This window comes from Homo sapiens, chromosome 22 (assembly GCF_000001405.40).
Source record: "Homo sapiens chromosome 22, GRCh38.p14 Primary Assembly".
Classification (NCBI taxonomy): Eukaryota; Metazoa; Chordata; class Mammalia; order Primates; family Hominidae; genus Homo; species Homo sapiens.
Window position 1 is genome coordinate 49,648,903 of NC_000022.11, and position 21,041 is coordinate 49,669,943.

Below are 21,041 nucleotides of genomic sequence, written 5' to 3' on the forward strand. Positions count from 1 at the left end.
GGCTGTGTCCAGAACATCCCTCTCAGAACTTAGCCAGGTACAGCGGCTCACACCTGTCATCCCAGCACTTTGGGAGGCTGAGGCGGGTGGATCACCTGAGGTCAGGAGTTCGAGACCAGCCTGGCCAACACAGTAAAACCCCATTTCTACTAAAAATACAAAAAATTAGCTGGGCATGGTAGTGGGCACCTGTAATCTCAGCTGCTTGGGAGGCTGAGACAGAAGAATAGCTTGAACCTGGGAGGCAGAGGTTGCAGTGAGCCGAGATCACACCATTGCACTCCAGCCTGGGCGACAGAGCAAGACTGTCTCAAAAATAAATAAATAACTAAATAAAACTCTCCCAGCAGCTGGGGACACCCAAGACTGCACTGAGCCCCTTGGCCACGGCCCCTCCAGTCCCTGAAAACTTCCCCGTCTTCATCCACTGCAAGTAGACAGCACGCACGCCTCCCGGCCACCCCATCCACGACACGCTGACCCATGGAGTCCCCAACATCTGCTCCTTGGGTTGGAGGGCACGGCAGCAAAGCAGCAGGTTTAATTAATCACACTGAACTCAGCCGCTGGTGACCCCAGGCACAGCCAGGGAGGGCACTGGGGGACAGGCAGCCGAGAGAGTCACCTGCCACCTTCTTCTCTCCCCATCATGGGAGACAGGAGCTGATTAAAATGCACATGATTTATTGGGATTTATTGGAAAGGGGCCTGTCATCTATTAATTTACCATCTTAGTTTCCATCAGGGACACTTTTTCTACTTCTGCAGATAATCAGGGAGAAGATTTCTTGCAAAGGGTGGTCTTGACCCCTGCAAGACACGGTTTCCCAGGCGAACATCCTAAATGGGGTAATTAGAGCTGAGAATCGCAAATATCCATCCTCTAAACTGAATAAAAATGGAAATACGGCACTGAGGCATCATTATGTGCTCATCGAGTGAAATCCGGTTCCCCGCATCCATTAACCCTTTGTTGTGTGGCCCTCCCGCGCGGCACGGAGGCCAGCGCTGGGTACGTCTGTCGCCGAGTGATGAATGAGCTGTCCATCCAGCCGCCTGACGGTTTGACCTTTATTCAGCTAAAAGCACGGGGGCTCCTGGTGTTAAGTGGATGCCACTCCAGGATGAAATTGATCCAGAGTAAGCATCTTTGTAGTTGTCTTAGATAACTTGATGGGAAATGTACTCTCAGCTCAAGGGTAAGTTAACAAAGCCCAATGCAAATACCAACAGTCTTTTCCCCCAACTGATTTGCTTTAACGCAGAGCTACACTGTCTACCTCACTAAAAAAACTCAGGCTCTTGGACACACCAAGGCCTTCCACCGGACTAAAGGGAAAGACCACGAACCATCACACAAGCAGTGCTCTGGAGGCGCTCAGGCGGACTCGAACACCTTCGTGTTAATGCAGTTCCACACAACAGTGAATTTGAACCTCGAAAAAATACACTGAAGTTGTTAAGAATGCTTTGGAAAAAATGAATGGGGAAGGACCTTGTCCCACAGAAACTAAACACAGTGCTGGGACTACTCCAGATAAGGGAAGGCAAGTGAGACGCACGCACGGCCCTTTCCTTGACCAACAATCCTAGAAAGGGGATTAAACAGACTGAACGACGCCGGGGGCTCCCAGTGCACAAAGGTGGCCAGAGGAGTCCATTCGGATGAGCGTCCGCTGGAAAGAGGGTGCCACCAGCTCTGCGGCTCTGTGTGTGGAGAAGGGTGGAGGAAAACCACAACCTTTCTGGGTGAAAGAGTCAGAGGTGAGCATTCAGGGTGCAGGAGCATGGTGAGGAATACCTAGGGAGCCGCAGAGTGAGATCCAAATTCTGGGCATAAACCCAGCCCGACCCACAGCTGCACTGTACGGAAGACACCTGGGGCCGGCGGCAACGCAGGCGAGGCCAGGAGAAGCTCACTCCTGGGAGGAGAGCCTCACAGGCCAGACCCGCGAGTCAGCTGCTGTGTTGAACCAAGCACATCCCCTGGCTGAGACGCTGAGAGAGCAGAAACCACAGGCATGAAGAATCCAGTGGGAAGGCTAGGCCCATGTCTGCCCAGTTTCACAGGCAGCGGGGAGAGCATCAGGAGCCGGGCTAAAGAGAAGGGCAGCCCCAAGGCGCCACCAAGGCCGAGCGGGGACGAAACGGCCCCCTGGAGCCAGGAACACCAAGTCTGCAGAGTGAATCCGGAACAGCTCACCACCTACCAAGCAAAACGAAAAACCACCCCCAGGAAAACACAAGGAAATTCAGTCACTAGAACGCATTCCCTACAGCGTCAGCTTTTTACCCCAGAATTGTCAGACAACAGGAAGTGTTGACCCACAGTCAGGAAAAAAGGCAGCTGATAGACATTGACTTCAAGTGGACCCAAATGGTGAATTTAGCAAAAGAAGCCATCAAAGCAACTGTTATAAATACGTTCTTAAAAAACTAAAATAAGGTGACTGGCGTGGTGGCTCACGCCTGTAATCCAGCACTTTGGGAGGTTGAGGTGGGTGGATCCGTTGACCAGCCTGGCCAACATGGCGAAACCCTCTCTACTAAAAATACAAAAATTAGCTGGGCATGGTGGCGGGCACCTGTAATCCCAGCTACTTGGGAGGCTGAGACACAAGAATCTCTCAATCCCGGGAGGCAGGGGTTTCAGTAAGCTGACATCGCGCCATTGCCCTCCAGCCCGGGTGACAGAGAAAAACTATCTTAAAAAAATAAAAATAAAAAATAAAGTATATCCAAATAATAAAACATGTATAAGTACAGGAAAATATTATATCAATGAATAAATGGGAAATCTCAACAGAGAAATGAAAACTAGAGAAAATGGATGGCAATTCTAGAAGTGGAAACTGCAATAAATGAAGCAGAAATTTACTAGACAGCCTTGACATCACTTTGGAGGTGGCCAAGGAAAATAAACTTGAGAACACAGCAATAGAATTTGCTGGATTCAAAATGAAGAGAAAGCTGGACACAGTGGCTCGCGCCTGTCATCCTAGCACTTTGGGAGACCAAGGCAGGCAGATCGCTTGAGCCCAGGAGCTGGAGACCAGCCAGGGCAACATAGTGAGACCCCACCTCTACAAAAAGTACAAAAAAAAATGGCTGGGCGTGAAGGTGCACACTTGTAGTACCAGCTACTTGGGAAGCTGAGGTAGAAGGATTGCTTCAGCCTGAGAGGTCGAAGCTGCAGTGAGCCGTGATCACAACACTGCACTCCAGCCTGGGTGACAGAGTGAGACCCTGTCTCAAAAAAAAAAAAAAAAGCAAAATGCAGAGGTTGAAGAAAAATGAGCCAAGCCTCAGAGACCTGAGGGCCAAGAGCCAGTGACCCTGCGTGTGGACAATGGCCGTCACAGGAGTGGAGAGGGAAGGGCGTGCATTGGCCAGGTCCATACAATGGCCAAAAACTTCCAGAATTTGGTGGAAAATGTTAACTTACAGACACAAAAAGTTCAACAAACCCCAAGCAGGATAAACAGGGGAAAGAAACAGTCCTGGATACATCTTGCCAACTTCTAAAAATCAAAGATAAAAAGACCATTTTGAGGCCGGGCACGGTGGCCCCCACTTCCTATAATCCCAGCACTCTGGGAAGCCAAGGCAGGTGGATCACGAGGTCAAGAGTTCGAGACCATCCTGGCCAACATAGTGAAACCCTGTCTCTACTAAAAATATAAAAATTAGCTGGGCGTGATGGTGTGCACCTGTAGTCCCAGCTACTAGGGAGGCTGAGGCAAGAGAATCTCTTGAACCTGGGAGGCAGAGGTTGTGGTGAGCTGAGATGGCGCCACTGTACTCCAGCCTGGCTATAGAGCGAGATTCCAAAAAAAAAAAAAAAAAAGCCATTTTGAGAGAAAGAGAAGAAAACAGCATGTGAAATACAAAACAACAACAATGAAGAGAAGAGAATCACAGGAGATTCTCACCGAATGAAGGAGACCCAAAGTGGGAAAAATACTAAGTCAATTGTTAGCAAATGGAATTATTTAAAAATCTGGCCAGGTGTGGTGGCTCACACCTGTAATTAAAGCACTTTGGGAGGCCGAAGCAGGTGGATTACCTGAGGTCAAGAGTTCGAGACCAGCCTGGGCAACATGGCGAAACCCCATCTCTACCAAAAATATAAAAATTAGCGAGGCGTGGTGGTGCACGCCTATAATCCCAGCTACTCAGGAGGCTGAGGCAGGAGAACTGCTTGAACCCAGGAGGTGGAGGTTGCAGTGAGCCAAGATTGCGCCATTGCACTCCAGCCTGGGTGACAGAGCAAGACTCTGTCTCAAAAGAAATTAAAAAATAAATTAATTAAATAAATAAATAAATCAGAAGGCTTTGCCCCTGTGTCAGAAAACCTATAGGAATATTCCACTACAGTAGCAGATGAAAGAGACTGTCTGTCCAAGTGTTTTCAGCTGCACGAGGCCCGGCTGCTTGTTATCGAGGTCCGATAATGAGATGCAGACACTGGGGAAGGAGGGAGTTTATTTCAGCAGCCAGGTACAAGGAGGAGGTCGGAGTAGCTCACCAGACCAACTCCAAGTGACAAGTTTCTCTCCAGAGCTTGTATACACTCTGAGATCCATGCTGTGTGTGGGGTTGCACCTGCCAGCAGGACTGTTCTTTCAATCTCTATCTCATCTTTAGCAAGGGTCTGGGGTCTGGAAAGCTTTCTCTAGAGCCTTGGAAAGTTTCTCAGTCTTAAGTGGGCTCTGGTAGGAGGTGTATGTGTAAGGATGCCTTCCCGCCCCCGCCCCCAACCCCGAGATAGAGTCTTGCTGTCACCCAGGCTGGACTGCAATGGCGCGATCTCGGCTCACTGCGACCTCTGCCTTCTGGGTTCAAGTGATTCTCCCGCCTCAGCCTCCCAAGTTGGGATTACAGGTGCACACCACCGTGCCCAGCTAATTTTTGTATTCTTAGTAGAGACGGGATTTCACCCTGTTGGCCAGGCTGGTCTCGATCTCTTGACTTGGTGATCTGCCTGCCTCTGCCTCCCAAAGTGCTGGGATTACAGGTGTGAGCCACCACGCCCGGCCCAACGATGCTTTTATTGTTGGATCAGACTTCAGGGTCTGAGAAAACCCAGGCAGGGTCTTAACGGGTTTGTTGTGGCATTGCAGCCCCCCCTCAGGCGCCAGCTTCTCCAGTTCCTTAATGTTCAGCTTATGCGTTTGTCAGAATTATAGTAAAGGGTTAGTGGAAACTGGCTGTCTGGTTGCTAATGGAAACCCGGCCTGCCCCACAAGCTCAACAGATTGGAAGAAAAAAAAAAGGGGGCATAAACAATGTTTCCACAACCACTAATTAGGAAAACCTCTTAGCAAGCTAGAAACAGAAAGAAATTGCCTAAATGGACACAGAAGAACTACCAAAACCTAGAGGAAACTGCTTGCTTGCTAGAGAAATTTTGTAAGAATTTCCATAAAAATCAGAATCACGATAAGATTCTCTCTCTCTCTATCCTATAACGTTTGCTGGGTGCCATAGCCAAGACAGTTAGAAAAGCAAAGTAACTGAGAGGTATAAGAATTAAAAAAAAAAAAAAAAAAAGAAATGCTTTCAGGTGCTGTAATGATCTGTATAAACAATCCAAATTACCAGAACTACTTGAACAATTAGCAGAACTAACCACCTTTGGTCAGGTGCTAGGAATGAAAGAGCCCAGAGGCAGCTCAGCACTCATCTGAGAGGCAGACGTGATGGCGTCGGGCTCAGGGGATGGGGTGCTGAGGCTCCGCAAACAGCAAAGTTAAAAAGCAGATCTCTGCCTCCTCCTGTACACAGAATTAAATTCTGCGTATCAAAAAAATCTTTAAGACTAGTAAATAAATCTTTAAGACTAGTAAGAGAATATCTTAAATCATGGGATAGGGAGGGATTTCTTCAAACAAAACAAATAAAATATCCTAGAGAAAAAGATTCCATACCTCTAACTCTACATTTGAAGTTTTTTCTGACAAACAACCACACCATTTGTTCTAAAAAACGAGCCATTGACTGGGAGAAATTTTGCAATACACACAACATAAACAGGACTAATATCCAGATATATGTGGAATTCCTGCAAAGAAATAAGTGAAAGAAAAACAACCCTAAAATCTGGCCAGATGAACAGGCAAACTGCAGAAGAGGAGACCCCAATAGCTAAAATAAAAATCATAAGCGGCTCAGTCTGTCTATTCATCTGAAAATCCAAAATTAAACCGCAGAGAGATGCAAATTAAGAAAACTTTCACAGCGTGACATAGGAGTGATGGGAGGATTCACAGAGCCAGGAACCCGCACACAACTGGCTTGAGCGTCCACTGGGGCGATGACCTCCAAGATCCTGGCCAGCACCCGAGCAGTGTTTGCTGGGAGCACGCACACCTCCAGCCCAGGAACTTTCCTCCCAGATGTACCCCCTGGAGCTCTGCTGGGTAAAGTGTGGCCCAGGGACCAGTGTCGGAATCTGCATATCAACAGGGTCTGCGGTCGCTCGCGAGGGTGACACCTGGGGAGGCCGCCCAGAGATCCTGCCCCCGAGCTCCGTGAGACACGTCAACAGGGTCTGCAGTCGCTTGTGAGTGCAACACCTGGGGAGGCCGCATAGAGACCCTGCCGCTGAGCTCCGTGAGACACACACCGTCACATGTACTCCAGCCTCGTCTGCGACTAGAAACAGAGAACCCTGCACATCTGCAAGGCACAGAAATTAACGCTGGTGCCTTCATATTGTGCAATAACAAACTGCGGTTAACCTGAATGAAGCCGACCTATAGAATCAAAAAGATAGTTCTGGAAAACATAAAAGAGCAAGTTGTAGCACATGACGTTTTACAAAGATTAAAACAGCATTCACCCAAAAGATGGCCAGTCACCCACGGCCGCACAGGTACAGTGTGGACGTGCAGCAGAGCCAAGGACGGGGCACCTGGCAGCCAGAGGGACAGGCACGTCTTAGGAGGAAAGGTCTGCGGTGCTCCTTTCTTTAAAAAGAAATAGAAACGATCTGAGGCAAATATGGCATCGGGTTTCCCTCCACTCATTTATACTCCTCTGGGATTTAATTTTCAAATTAATAAGCAAACAAGACAGGTGAAATGGGATTCCCTAGGATTTGATAGCCGTAACCACATGCTTGGTGTCAGAAGCTCCGTAGAGAGCATTGAGGAGATGAAGCCCAACTTTTTAGAAGCCAATTTTCCGAGATACCTCAAGACACTTTGTCTTGGTCTCCTCTTCCTAGAAGAACATTCTTTAAAAAAAAAAAAAATAGAAACCGCCTGATGTGCAAAGATGTTTATAAGAAGAAAAAACTAAAAGCAAGTCAAATGTCCCAGTAACATGGCAGGTGTGAGTCGCAGCACGGCGCCGCCGAGGAGACCAAACCCACCCACGGCATGAGCGTGAGTCGCTGCAAAGGGCAAAGGTGTGCGCCACAAAGCACCAGAGACCCCCAGGCCCCTGCGGCCTGGCCTGGCACAGCCTTGCTTTGCAGCCCCGGAGAGGCAGGGCCTGGACCTCACCCTGGCCTCCACCTGCCACCACGCTGTTCCCGCCACCCTGAATGCCCCCTTCCAGGCATCCCTGACCAGCACAGCCTCACCCCAGGGGAGCCCGACACCCTCCGCCATCTGCTGCCTGGCACACGACGTGAGCCACGGGCACTGAGGTTACCACAGGGTCCACAGCTCCAGAGCTTCCCAGAGCCAACCCCAGGCCCGCCCCGCGCTTGCCCGGTGATCAGGTGAGTCTGCGAGCCTGCGGGGAGAATCCTTGGGCGCCCATGTCAGGGTTCAAGGGGTGGGCGTCATGAGAGCAGGACCAGGCACCCAGGGGCCCCAGCCGCACCAGCTCTCATTCCTGCCCCGCCACAGGCAGGCAGCCCAGCTGGCGTCCAAACCTCCTTCACGGGCTCCAGGGAAAGTGGCTGCCTCGGAGCCCAGGCCCAGGGGACCTTGAAAGATAAACCGCCATTGTACAGCTCCAGGGAAAATCAGAATCGTCCCTAAGGAGTCTCAAGAAAGCACCCCTCAGCAAGATGGAGCCCCAGGTCCTGGAAGAGCCACGAGCTGTTCTGCAAGATGGAGCCCCAGGTCCTGGAAGAGCCACGAGCTGTTCTGCAAGATGGAGCCCCAGGTCCTGGAAGAGCCACGAGCTGTTCTGCCCGAAAGGGCAGAGGGCCGGAGAAGCCAGTCCTGGGGGAGGAGGTCGGGGCCACTCACCAGGGCCTTCCTAACGTTCCGTCCGAGCGCATTCTGGAGGAAGAGCAGCTCCTCAACCGAGCCCGAGAGGGCATGGCCCCGGTCGCGGGTAGACAGCCGCACCTCTGCCCCATCTCTGCCCGCTGACACCTGTCCTGGTCCAGGTCCACCTCCCCGGGCATCCAGGCCCCAGCTCGTCCCTCTCCTTAAAGTCTTCTGGCTCTCACACCCTCTACGTGTCCGTTCTCACACTGCTAGAAAGACCTAACTGAGACTGGGTAATTTATTTTAAAAGGAAGTTTGGTTGACTCACAGTTCTGCAGGCTGTACAGGAAGCGTGGCTGGGAGGTCTCAGGAAACACAATCATGGCGGAAGGGGAAGGGGAAGCAGGCGCTTCTCATCATGGCGGAGCAGAGGAAGAGAGAACGTGAGGGGGAGGGACCGCACACGTTTAAACCATCAGATCTCGTGGGAACTCACTATCACGAGAACAGCAACGGGAACTCCGCCCCCATGATCCAGTCACCTCCTACCAGGCCCCTCCTCCAACACTGGGAATTACAATTCCTCCTGAGATTTGGGTGTGGACACACAGCCAGACCACAGCACACCCCCCAGATCAGGCTCCTGATCTGGGCACCTGCCCAGTCTCCTGCAGGAGCTCCAGCCGGAGCCCCGGGGCCCTGCGATTCCCCTCCCTGAGAGCCCCTCTCTCAGCCCATCCACAGGTTATATCCCTCCCACCTCCAGATGGAGCTCAGGCCCGCCCTTCCTCCAGCCCCTGCCATCTCCTGGCCAGTGACCCGGTGACGACGTCACCTCCGCAAAGGCTCACACGGTTCCACCTATCCCCTGCTCTTCTCCACGGAGCACCAGTGTGAGCCTGAGAAACACGCCCTCTGGCACCTGTCCTCATAAGGCCTCTCCTGGCTTTCTCTGGAGTCCAGCCTCACCCTGGCCTCTACCTGCCACCATGCTGTTCCCGCCACCCTGAATGCCCCCTTCCAGGCATCCTTGGCCAGCACAGCCTCACCCCAGGGGAACCCTCTGCCATCTCCTCCCTGGCACACAACGTGAACCATGGGTGCCCAGTTCCCCTCAGTCCCCTACCTGCTCCAAGGGTAGGGCCCAGACTGATGGCCTCTGGGGTGGGCCACGATGAGACCCCTGCCCCTGAGGGCCCAGCCTGCACCTCCTCCACCTCACTGGATGCTGTTAACCCCCTCTGCTCCTCCTCCAGGTACAGGGAAGCCACAGGGAGGCAGAGGGCAAACATCGGGGAGCTGTGTTCCCGCCACAGATCCACACTGTCGGTTGAGTGCACCCTCACCAGGAAAGCTGGGCCCACCATGTGATTTCCTGGAGCCTCCGTGACAAAGGACCACAAACTGGGGGCTTAAAGCAACAGAAATTCTCTCACAGTTCGGAGGCCGGAAGTCCAAAATCAAGGTGTCCCCGGGGCCACGTTCCCTCTGGAGGCTCCAAGGGAGGGATCTTCCTGTCTCTGCATTTTCCAGGGGCCCCACAATCCCTGGAATTCCCTGGTTCACAGCCGCATGGCCTGATTGGAGCTTCTGTGTCTGCATGGCCTCCTGCCTGAGCCTCAAACCTCTCTCTTTTTTATGAGGAACACCGGTTAATTACAGGATTTAAGGCGTACCCTCTCCGGGATGGGACTATCTCATCCCCAGATCTTTAATTTGATTATAACTGCAAAAACCCTATTGGCAAGTAAGTTCACCTTTACAGGTCCTCGGGGGGCTAGGATGTCAACACATCTTTTTAGCGGGGACACATTCAACCCACAACACCAGCGCTAGCAGAATTCCAGCTGCCAGAGAGTCGGGCATATGGGCAGGCGCTTATCAAGGAAGAAAGCAGAGTGTTGAGGCTGTTTTTTTAAGCCACAGGTAAGAAGAAATTGCTGAGTCAGCTTCAGCATTCATTAACAGCCACCGATTTCCCGGGAAGGCCCGAGGGAGATGAATAAGCAGCAGCTGCGATTCCATCAAGCTTAATTTAAAATCCTGGTGGAGGAAGGCATGGAAACCAGTGCTGCTGGTCCCAGGAGAATGCTGGAGTTGAATATCTCTGCATTCAGATGCGGGCTTTACCTAGGAGTAAGAAAGCCTGTGTAATTAGACCTAATGACAAAGAGGCTCCACACCTCCCTCAGTCCCGGGGCACCGGGCTGCAGCCGACAGCTCCAACCAGACACCTCGCAGTTCCCAAGGCCAGCACCCCAGAGAAGGGATGTAGGGATCTTCTTCAGAGCAGAAGGTCTTCAGGGATCTCAGCACATGTGCTCCAAGCAGACATCTCCCTAGTCCCGAGGGGCAGGGCCGTGGACAAGCAGCTGGAAGCCCACCCGGCCAGCCTTGATCCAGAAGATGACCCCTGGGTGACCCCTGGTGAAGGCCGGCATCAGTGGCTGCAGAGACGAGGGGGCCCTTCTCACACCCCAAGAGTCAATTCAACCAGATGGTCGGCCACCAGGCAGAGACGGGGCTGCCCAAGGAGATCCACAGCACATCCCATAAGACACACACTCGGCCCTGGCCCTGTGCCCTCCTGTCTGCCCCTCTAGCCACCCACTGCCCGCTGCCCACCACCAGGCCTCCAGAGCAGGCTCAGCTGGCGCTAAGGGCCCAGCTGTCGGGGATGCTGAGATAGAGCGAGGGTCAAGTTCCCTCTGGTTCTCAGAAGGCCCTGGCCAGGATGTACAGGTGGCCGCAGGCGTCAGTCTTGGAGGTGGCCGCAGGCAGTGGGGGTGCAGGCGGCAGATCCTCGGTATGAATTTAAATCATTTCAGCCCTTCAGCCAGCCAGAAAACAGTTCCAATCCCATCCTGCTGGCCCAGAAGTAGGACGAGGGGAGAGACAAAGCCAAACCCTTGACCAGCTCCCCCTGCCCTGGTCAGGAAGCCAGAGTGTGAGAGTGTGCGGGGCTCGGCATCCGGCCCCACTCGGCCATCCGTGCTGAACAGGATGCCCTGAAGGACGACAAGGCTGCCTCGGATCCTGATGCCACGCTTGTTTCAAATCCTTGACGGGGAGAAACGCGGGGCGCCACGCGGCACCTCCAGGTCACCGGTTCCCACTCTGGGATTCAGGTGAGAAGCCAGGGTCTCGGGGTCCCCTGTGACCTCTTGGCCTTTGCCCATGGAGGGCAGTCGTTTGACTAAAACAGGACCTTTCTCTCCCAAGGCACATTTCCAAGCCGTTTCTCACTTGTTCAAGATACTTTTTACTTTAAATGGAACGCAGTCAAGAAGCAATGTACGGCCACCATGCACGTGGCTGCTCCTCTCTCCTGGGCCTGGGCACCCTGGGGGTGCCCCAGGAAGAGGCCCCCACACCATGGAGGTGAGCGAGGGGCTCTGGCCGGCCCGAGGGGGCTGGGATGGCGAGGATGGCCAGATTGGGCGGCTGCCGGGTCTCGGGGCCCGGTGGGTCCCTCCTCGGTGGCTTGACCCGTTTGCCTTTGAGCAATGACTCGGTGGGCAGCAGAGCCCCACCCGTAACCAGCCTGCACAGCGCAGCCCCACAGGAATCTGTTCAGGCAAAGGTTCTAATTATCAAGACATTTTTATTTCAAGCAGAGCTCAATATTTCAAGTTCATTCTGTGCCTACGTTTCAGAAAAAAAATCTTCCAGCAAGAACGCAATAAACAAGACTGAGAGCCTCATTAGGAGCCTGTGAGCCCCACATCACCAGACGCGCTGCAGCTCCCCGTGATGACCGCTCCTCCTCCGAGCCCCGCACACGGCGCGGGTTACATGGAAAAGGCACCGCAGCTCCCCGTGACGTCCTCTCCTCCTCGGAGCCCCGCACACGGCGCGGGTTACATGGAAAAGGCACTGCAGCTCCCCATGACGATCGCTCCTCCTCTGAGCACCGCACACGGCACGGGTTACATGGAAAAGGCACTGAGTGCGGCCCACAGGAGAGGCGGGGATGGAACCAGGACCCCAATGCATAGGCTGGGGGACGCACCTTGGCCACCTCCCGTGGCGGGATGGTTTTCCCAATCGGAGATCCCAGCAGGGCCCATGCTGGCGGCTCTGCCTGTCCCTGGCACGGACCACTCCTCACCTGTGGATGACACCCCCATCCCAGGTCTGTCTGCAGGACTCAGGCCCCTCCCCAGGTGCCCCCCTGGTACTCAGGGACTTTCCAGCAGCACATGGAGCTGGGGTTGCATGGAGGTGTGTGGGGGCAGCTCAGAGCCCTGCCTGGAGCCTACCCCAGCTGCAGGAGTCCCAGGGACAGTCCCATGACGGCCGAGCACATGCCTCCTCACCAGCTCCTGCAGCCCCCACAGCCTTGGCCCTGCCACTCACACAGCTCCCAGTAAGAGGTCTCCAAGCTCTGTGCCCAGCCCCCAACTCAGTCGAGCCCACAAAGGTCTCATAGATCTGGGCACACGTGGCTGTCCTAAACCTGCCCTGCACCCTCCCAGGGGGTTCCAGTGCCTGACAACACACGCATGACGTCTCCCAGCACCAAACAGACCACCTGCAGCGGTGGCTATGCTCCCTCCTCCCACTCGCCCAGCAGAGCACCTGCTGCATGCCAGGCCAGGAGCTGCTGGGGAAAGGAGGAGGGGGAAACAAATGAGGGCCTGGCCACCGAATCCCACTGCCTGGGGCAAGCAGAAGCCAAGCCGTGGAGTCAGAGTGTCTCACAGGTGGACGGGCAGAGCCCGCTGGGGAGATGGCAAAGTGGAAACAGCCGTGGAGGTGGGGAGGGAGGGGCTGCTCTGACTCAGAAGGTCCCCAGCCTCAAGTCCGGAGGGGAATGCTGCTTTTTCATGTCCATGGCAAAGACAAAGCACCATGCTTGACAGACTTCAAGCATTTGAGTTATTAATTCTGTTTATTGTCCATCATTTCAATTAAAAATTAAATCTGCATGTGTTTTGGTGCTGATTCACAATTAAAACCCACTGGGTTTCACAGCTTGTTAGGAAAACAAAAGGGATGATGAAACTTTTAGGAAACTCTAAAAAAAAATACTTTCAGGCTGCACGTGGTGGCTCACGCCTGTAATCCCAGCACTGTGGGAGGCTGAGGTGGGAGGATCGCTTCAGGTCAGGAGTTCCAGACCAGCCTGGCCAACATGGTGAAACCCCGTCTCTACTAAAAATGTAACAAATTAGCCAGGCATGGTGATGCACACCTGTGGTCCCAGCTACTCAGGAGGCTGAGGCAGGAGGATTGCTTGAGCCTGGGAGGTCAAGACTGCAGTGAGCTGAGATCGCGCCATTGCACTCCAGCCTGGGCAACAGAGTAAGAACCTGTCTTAAAAAAAATAAATACTTTAGAACAGAGGCAAAAGCATCTTGATTTCCATGAAATTAACGTGGACGTAAATGTGTGGGGAAAATTAAAATGTATTATTGGTCAGATTTTGAGTGTATCATATTTAATTCACGGTTCAATTGAAACTCACTTCTTGTTTTGCTGAAGACCTTTGCCATTTTTTTTAACCAGTCAAAAGAAAGAACAAGTGACAGGGAAATAAGAATAAAATTGAAAACAAATTAGAGGGGTAATTTGGCAGATCCTTCCAAAGTTAAAGTTACAATATGATCCCACAATTCCACTCCTCCCTCCACACCTGAAAGAGCTGAAAACATGGGCTGGAGCAGGCGGCACACCCAGGCTCACAGCAGCCAAAAGACAGACACACAGTGGACTCCCCGTACGACGGGGCCGGGTCAGCCTCGGGAGGAAGGAAGCGCCAACCCCTGCGGCTGCACGGAGAACCTTCCAGACACTGTGCTGCCCGCAAGAGGCAGACACAGCTCATCTATCACGGGACTCCATTTACGTGAAATATATCCGAAAGAGGCAAATTCACGGAGACAGAAAGCAGATTCGTGGTTGCGGAAGCCAGAGCTGGGGAGGGGAAATGAGGAGTAACTGTTCCTGGGGACTGCGCTTCCTCCTTTCGTGGGGGATGAAAATGTTCTGAAGGCAGACAGAGGTGGGGGTCATGCCGCCCTGTGAAAGTGCCGCATTCTGTTTAACCATTCACTTTAAAACGATAAAGTTGGCGTCATGCGAATTTCATGTCAATAAAATTCAGCACAAAGAGCAAACTGGAGGGTGATCGTGGTTCCTGGCAGAGCCGCTGTCAGCTAAGAAGCCATCCCTGGGTGAAGGTGCATGCAGGGCCTGACCCCAGGACCATCACCCAACACGGTCACCACAGGGCAGACAATGTCCGTTTTCACTTTCAAGATCAGCCGGTAGACAACGCAGAAAGGCCACCTGCCGTCGGTGTCCATGACAGCTGGCTTCACCGTGAAAGTGCCAGCCGGGCGTTCAGAGGGGAGGCACTCAGCAGAGACCCCAGGATCTAAGGCCCATGTTGGACGAGCAGGACGTGATGGGATCGGGCTGTGGAGGGGGCGCGTGTGGATGGATGTCCCTCAGTCCAGAAGGAGGACAATCACTGAACTTCGTGTCACCCACAGGGGTCACAGCCCAAGATCTGAGAGCAGCTCCAAGTGCAGGAGGGGCCGCGCCGTCCACTCTCCCACACTCTGGTGTGCCCAGGCAACTTCATCAGGGACAGCTGAGAAAGGAAGAGACACATTTAGGAGAGTTCCATCTGAAATACCCAAAGTTAAACAATTAACATAAAAGCGCGGGTTGGTGCCCACAGATGCTCCCCTCCCATTGCCACAGCCTCTCACCTGCACCAAGGACCCAAGGCCACCAGCCTCCCTGTCCACTCGCAGGTCTGGGACCCCCCAGTACTCGGACCGGACTTTGTCTCTTCCCTGCTTAAGCAGCAGCCCTGCCCCTGCAGCCCCCAGACCCCAGAGCAGGATCGAGGAGGGAATACCATTCTGGCACCCCCAAAACCATGGAGGCAGAAGCTGTGTCTGCCTGTGACCGAGTTCTGTCCCCAGCTCCAGAGGGTGCCCAGGCCCAGGTATGGAGCCCCCAGCCTACCTGCAAAGGCCCCTCTGTGGGCAGCAGCCTGCAGCCCTGCCAGGCACTGCATCCGTTCTTGAAGGAGTCCCTCATCACCCCCCAACCCCACAGGCTGGAGCCCCACAGGGGCTGTGTCCACTTCTGGACACCAGGGTCCAGCTCAGGGCCCGGTACATCTGGTGGGTCAGAGCCAGCTCACTCAGCCTCTGCAAGAAAATCATCTTTAGATTGCAGGGTCCAGGATGAGAGTATTTTAAATATTGGAAACCCGAGTCATGGGTCAGGGAAGGAAGACAGAATGGGTGAAAAACCAAGACGGCGCCCTGGCCAGGTCCTCCTGGCATCTCCCGTCACTCTTGACCCAGGTCAGGGTCTCCATCTCTAGAGACCAGTTGGCCAACGGCTCCTTCCCACCCACACACAGGTGAAGCCAGGCCCAGCCATCTGGCAGAGACCTGGGTTTGGTTGTCCGAAGTCCTCAGCCTTCTAATCCCGGATTCTCCAACCTGGGTTGCAGCCAGGGACCCTGTCACGTGCATTTGAATTGGAGGCGGCTCAGCCAGAGACCACTGGCAGCATTGAGATGCTTTGGTTGGATGGAGGCATTTGGGTTTCAGCAGCTGCCACATCTGATTAGACCTGATGCATTGAGCCCGACATGCCGGGCGGCTGTTAGCGCTGCTGCTGAGGAAACCAGTGATCCAGAAAGAACACCGCGGCCCGGCACGCCGTGCTGCAGTCGGGAACGAGCAGCCTGCTCCTTTGCTGGGTGTGAACACTCTGAATAATCAGCCATCGAGAGGGAAGGGGGCCAGAAACACCACGCGGTCCCTCGGATCCCACTCTGTCCTGCCTCTGAGATCCTTGTGTTGTTTTTCTGATCAGAAGCGCCGCTTTCCTTAACAAGACAGAGGAGAGACGTGGGCACGTGTCTCTGGCTTCCTGCCTTATTATTTCAATAGCTCAGAACCAAGCAGAGGAGAGCAAGGAGCCCCGTCAGCACTCTCTGCTCAGCCGAGGTGGGTGGAAATCCAGCCATGAGGCAGGCAGGCCCCGGGGAGCACAGGGCAGCGCCCCCGTGCTCGGAGGCCTGCTCAGTCCCAGCGCCGCCCCCAGGCCTGCAGACCCTCCAGACCCTGCTGACCCCCAGCCCCGCTGGCCGCAGGCTGCTCTGTGGCTCACTCGGGGCTGGCCTGACCCACGGCACAAGCGGGGACGCTGGGGGGCTCACATCACTTTTCTACACCCTCTCTGAAGGTGGGCAGCAGGTGGGCAAAACAGCTTGAATAAATATATAAATCATAAAGCATTATCAATCCCACTCATACACATAGATATATAAATCATAAAAAGCATCATCAAACTGAATCCACCAATAAATGCTAGAATAGCACATCATGGTCACACTGAATTTATCCTGGAAATTCAAAGTTTAACATAAGAGAATAGAATGCTCAAAATCAAAGCAATTCACTCCATCAACAGAGAGGAGAAAGATCACGTGTAGCTCAATCAATACAGAAAAAGAATCTGAAAAAAAATCATTCCTTCATGACAAAATAAAAAACTCTGGCTAATGAAGAACAGAAGGTAACTCTAATGAAAGGCATTTGTAAAAAAACTACCAAAAAAAAAAAAACTACAAAAGACATCACACAGCCACTGAAAGTGCCTCTTTGACATTAAGAGAAAAATCAAATATTCTTGTTTCCATCAGCGCCCATCAGAAATGAGCTGGAGGCCTGTTTACAAGGCGAAAAAAAAATACATAAGAGTTCCAAAGGAAGACACAGAACTGCATGTATTCATAGATGATGAGATAAATAATCTATAGGATTACAGGAGTTAAACAAGACTGCCAAGGACAAAATTAACATAACAAATCCATTATTTCTACAGCAATCCACAACTAGAAAATGAAAGATTTTAAAACATACCATATGCAATAATATTTTTTAAATAGTTGAGATTTAGAAGTATATCTAACAGAGTCCAAGACATCCAGAGACCTTCATGAAACTTTCCTGAGAAGCTTTAAAGACGACCACCACAGTTGGAGGAACGTTCCTATCAACCAGCTCGAGGACTCAGGGTAGCCAAGATGCCAGCTCCCCTCCAGGAGTCTACTGAGCTGATCTTTGTGGAACTTGACAAGCCGAGTCCACAATTCATGCCAGAGTGCAAGCAGTGAAGAATGATAGTACAGCTGGCTCCACCACGCAGGACTTGTCATAAAGCCACAGTGACAGACAGTGTGGCGTCGGCCAGAGGCTCAACAAATAGCCCAGAAGAGAAGGAAGTGGCCAGAAGCAGGGCCAGCCTCATGTAGATACCCATGTAGGAAAGGGCAGAACCATGGAGCCAGGGGAAAAGCAGTTCCCTCTATGAATGATGCTGCGACCCAGGACATACACATGCAACAGTAACAAAACCGAACCCTCCCTCACACCATACCCCGGGGGTCAGCACATATTTTCTGTAAAGGGCCACAGTCGTTTGGGCCCTGGAAAGCCACTTAGTTGGCGTCTGCCTCAACCACTCAATATGTGCATGGCTATGTTCCAATAAAACTTTATTGACACAAACAAGTGGTCAGCCGGAGTTGGCCCTCAGGCTGTAGCTCACTGACCCCTGCCATGCCCAAAAATCATTCCTCATGAATCACAGACCTAATTGTGAAAGACAAAACTCTATAGTTCTTAAAAGACAAGATAGGCCAGGTGCAGTGGCTCATGCCTGTAAATCCCAGCACTTTGGGAGGCCGAGGCAGGTGGCTCACCTGAGGTCAGGAGTTCGAGACCAGTCTGACCAACATGGTGAAACCCCATCTCTACTAAAAACACAAAAATTAGCCAGGCCTGGTGGCAGGCACCTGTAATCCCAGCTACTCGGGAGGCTGAGGCAGGAGAATCACTTGAATGTGGGAGGCAGAGATTGCAGTGAGCCAATATTGCACCACTGCACTCCAGACGGAGTGAGACCTCATCTCCAAAAAAGAGAGGAAGGCAGGAAGGGAGGGAGGGAGGCAGGCAGTAAATAACTTCATGATCTCAGAGTAGAAATGAATTTCTCTAAAAAGGCACAAAGAAAAACTCCTACCCATAAAAGGAAAATATTGATAAATTCAACTACATTAAAAGTGAAAGCTTATGTTCACCCAAAAACTATCCACAACATGTAAAAGAAAAACAAAAAAACAAAAGAAGCTCTTTAAAGACCAAAAGCAACAGAGAAGAGACAAAAGTCCTGAACTGAAACTTGGTAGACAGGAAATATCCGCGGGCGGAAAACGCGCTTCCTGTTCCAAGTCACAGGGAAATGCAAATCCAAACACTGAGCGGCCACAGCACACCCTCCCCCTCAACACCCCCACCCTCCCCCCACACCCCTCCACCCCGGCTCCCCAGGGTCCCGTGCTGGTTCGGCTTAGGCTTTGAGGACCTACACCATCCCTCTGAGAGCAGCCCAGCCTTACCCGGAATGGGCCCAGCCAGCCTGGGGTCCTGCAGGACAAGGCAGGTCAGGGACGGTGGAGGCACCGAGAGAAAGCGCAGCATGAGGGGATCCTGACCACCCTGGGGCCCCCAGCCCAGCACGCGCAGGTGGGGGGAGGTCCTGACCATCCTGGGGCCCCCAGCTCAGCACATGCAGGTGGGAGGAGGTCCTGACCACCCTGGGGCCCCCAGCTCAGCACGCGCAGGTGGGGGGAGGTCCTGACCATCCTGGGGCCCCCAGCTCAGCACATGCAGGTGGGGGGAGGTCCTGACCACCCTGGGGCCCCCAGCCCAGCACGCGCAGGTGGGGGGAGGTCCTGACCATCCTGGGGCCCCCAGCTCAGCACATGCAGGTGGGGGGAGGTCCTGACCATCCTGGGGCCCCCAGCTCAGCACATGCAGGTGGGGGGAGGTCCTGACCACCCTGGGGCCCCCAGCTCAGCACGCGCAGGTGGGGGGAGGTCCTGACCATCCTGGGGCCCCCAGCTCAGCAGGCGCAGGTGGGAGGAGGTCCTGACCACCCTGGGGCCCCCAGCTCAGCACGCGCAGGTGGGGGGAGGTCCTGACCATCCTGGGGCCCCCAGCTCAGCACATGCAGGTGGGAGGAGGTCCTGACCACCCTGGGGCCTCCCAGCTCAGCGCTCAAGTTGGGGCGAGGGGGGGGCGGGGGGGCGGGCAGGGGCAGGGTCCTGACCACCCAGGGCCCCCGGCTCAGCACACGCAGGTGGAAGAAGGGGAGCTAAGTACCTGGCAGCTTGTCCCACATCCTCCCTCTCCAAAGACAAAGCATCATTTTCCTGCCCCCTGAAGTCGGCCATGCAGCCCCCCAGCACCTGCAGAAGCGTGATCCCACACTGGGGTCCAGGCCTTGCCACCATGGTGGAGGTCCTGCTGGGGTCCCGGCCCTGTCACCGGAGGCCACAGCTGAGTCGCTGCCGTGGTGGCTCTGCTGCCAGGGTTCCAGCCCTGTCACTGGAGGCCAAGGCTGAGTTGGGAGATGAGGCCACAGCAGCAGCAAGGGCAGGGGACTCCACTCCACAGGCCAGGCGGGAGATGCGGGGCCCGATGGGAGAAGGCCCTCCAAGGGTGGCACAGCACACCCCGTGTGGGAGGGAGGAGACGCCCCAACCACAGAACAGACAAAGCCACGTGGAAGGCGACTCAGCAAAGAAAACGCGTGATCCGAGTCCCTTACAAAGACGGCTCCACGACACAACGTCCAGAAACAGGTGAAAACTGGCCGGTGTTCCAGGATGCCCGCAGTCTGGAAAACTTCCGAGGAACATTTTATAGTCAATTTTGTGATTTCAAGAAAATGTGTTAAACAGTCATGAGGGCTCTGTCAGGCATCCAGCACCATTTTAAACGTGTAAAACACGAACACACCCCACTATCACAGTGACACTCTGTAAAAGGAACCAACGCTTCCTGGATGCAAAGTCCAGTTGACAGTGACCCACGGACCCCAAAAGCTGCCCAGCTCCGACGCAGCTGCTCTTCCTGGCTCCCGGCCTGGCCCTGAGAGCCCTTAGATGGTCACTGCTCTATCCCTGTGTCCGGAATTGGTGGGTTCTATGGTCTCACTGACTTCAAGAATGAAGCCACAGACCCTCGCAGTGAGTGTTACAGTTCTTACAGGCAGTGCGTCTGGAGTTTGTTCCTTCTGATGTTTGGATGTGTTCCGAGTTTCCTCCTTCTGGTGGGTTCATGGTCTTGCTGGCTCAGAAGTGAAGCTACAGACCTTAGCAGTAAGTATTACAGCTCATAAAGGCAGTACTGACCCAAAGACCAGAGTGAGCAGCAGCAAGATTTAGCGCAAAGAGCAAAAGAACAAAGCTTCCACACTGCTGGGAAAGGAACCCAGCAAGTTACCACTGCTGGCCCTGGGCAGCCTGCTTTTATTCCCTTATCTGTCCCCACCCACATCCTGCTGATTGGTCCATTTTACAGAGAGCTGATTGGTCTGTTTTGACAGGGTGCTGATTGGTACGTTTACAACCCCTGAGCTGGACAGAAAAGTTCTCCAAGTCCCCACTAGATTAGCTATACACAGAACACTGATTGGGGCATTCACAAACCTTGAGCTAGACACAGGGTGCTGATTGGTGCATTTACAAACCTTGAGCTAGACATGGAGTGCTGATTGGTGCATTTACAAACCTTGAGCTAGACACAGGGTGCTGATTGGTGCATTTACAAACCTTGAGCTAGACACAGAGTGCTGATTGGTGTATTTACAATCCCTTAGCTAGACATAAAGGTTCTCCAAGTCCCCAACAGATTAGCTAGATACAGAGTGCTGATTTACAAACCTTGAGCTAGGGACAGGGTGCTGATTGGTGTATTTACAAACCTTGAGCTAGACACAGGGTGCAGATTGGTGTATTTACAATCCCTTAGCTAGACA

General features: G+C 53.3%; 2 long non-coding RNA genes across 5 annotated transcripts in view, besides 8 other annotated features; both read right to left on the reverse strand.

The window, feature by feature from the left end:
* Positions 1-8,617, reverse strand: part of MIR3667HG (MIR3667 host gene) — a 242,996-nt gene extending 234,379 nt beyond the window's left edge. For all 3 annotated transcript variants that reach the window (NR_110522.2, NR_110523.2, NR_171025.1), the window contains exon 1: positions 8,503-8,617. This is a non-coding gene — a long non-coding RNA (MIR3667 host gene). The remainder of the gene's footprint in view (positions 1-8,502) is intronic.
* Positions 7,719-8,695: an enhancer, noted in NCBI's record as "H3K4me1 hESC enhancer chr22:50050269-50051245 (GRCh37/hg19 assembly coordinates)". NCBI's record gives its function as "activates a minimal SCP1, AML or CMV promoter by ChIP-STARR-seq in primed H9 embryonic stem cells {active_cell/tissue: H9 hESC(primed)}" and the evidence as "EXISTENCE:reporter gene assay evidence [ECO:0000049][PMID:30033119]".
* Positions 8,119-8,658: an enhancer, noted in NCBI's record as "active region_19278". NCBI's record gives its function as "activates an Ori minimal core promoter by ATAC-STARR-seq in GM12878 lymphoblastoid cells {active_cell/tissue: GM12878}" and the evidence as "EXISTENCE:reporter gene assay evidence [ECO:0000049][PMID:35858748]".
* Positions 8,799-8,898: an enhancer, noted in NCBI's record as "active region_19279". NCBI's record gives its function as "activates an Ori minimal core promoter by ATAC-STARR-seq in GM12878 lymphoblastoid cells {active_cell/tissue: GM12878}" and the evidence as "EXISTENCE:reporter gene assay evidence [ECO:0000049][PMID:35858748]".
* Positions 12,166-12,666: an enhancer, noted in NCBI's record as "H3K4me1 hESC enhancer chr22:50054716-50055216 (GRCh37/hg19 assembly coordinates)". NCBI's record gives its function as "activates a minimal SCP1, AML or CMV promoter by ChIP-STARR-seq in primed H9 embryonic stem cells {active_cell/tissue: H9 hESC(primed)}" and the evidence as "EXISTENCE:reporter gene assay evidence [ECO:0000049][PMID:30033119]".
* Positions 13,050-20,507, reverse strand: LOC124905145 (uncharacterized). Of its 2 annotated transcripts, none has more exons than XR_007068151.1 (2): positions 19,468-20,507; positions 13,050-14,775 (listed from the first exon to the last, which is right to left on the reverse strand). It is a non-coding gene; the product is annotated as an uncharacterized LOC124905145 (long non-coding RNA). The 2 variants fall into 2 exon arrangements; XR_007068150.1 differs by lacking the exon at positions 19,468-20,507 and adding an exon at positions 15,159-18,872.
* Positions 15,714-15,893: a silencer, noted in NCBI's record as "fragment chr22:50058264-50058443 (GRCh37/hg19 assembly coordinates)". NCBI's record gives its function as "represses an EF-1alpha promoter that drives an FKBP-Casp9 reporter gene in an ReSE screen in HepG2 liver carcinoma cells {active_cell/tissue: HepG2}" and the evidence as "EXISTENCE:reporter gene assay evidence [ECO:0000049][PMID:32094911]".
* Positions 15,714-16,258: a biological region, named in NCBI's record as "H3K4me1 hESC enhancer GRCh37_chr22:50058278-50058808".
* Positions 15,728-16,258: an enhancer, noted in NCBI's record as "H3K4me1 hESC enhancer chr22:50058278-50058808 (GRCh37/hg19 assembly coordinates)". NCBI's record gives its function as "activates a minimal SCP1, AML or CMV promoter by ChIP-STARR-seq in naive H9 embryonic stem cells {active_cell/tissue: H9 hESC(naive)}" and the evidence as "EXISTENCE:reporter gene assay evidence [ECO:0000049][PMID:30033119]".
* Positions 20,345-20,545: a silencer, noted in NCBI's record as "peak4519 fragment used in MPRA reporter construct". NCBI's record gives its function as "represses an SCP1 promoter by STARR-seq MPRAs in K562 erythroleukemia cells {active_cell/tissue: K562}" and the evidence as "EXISTENCE:reporter gene assay evidence [ECO:0000049][PMID:32103011]".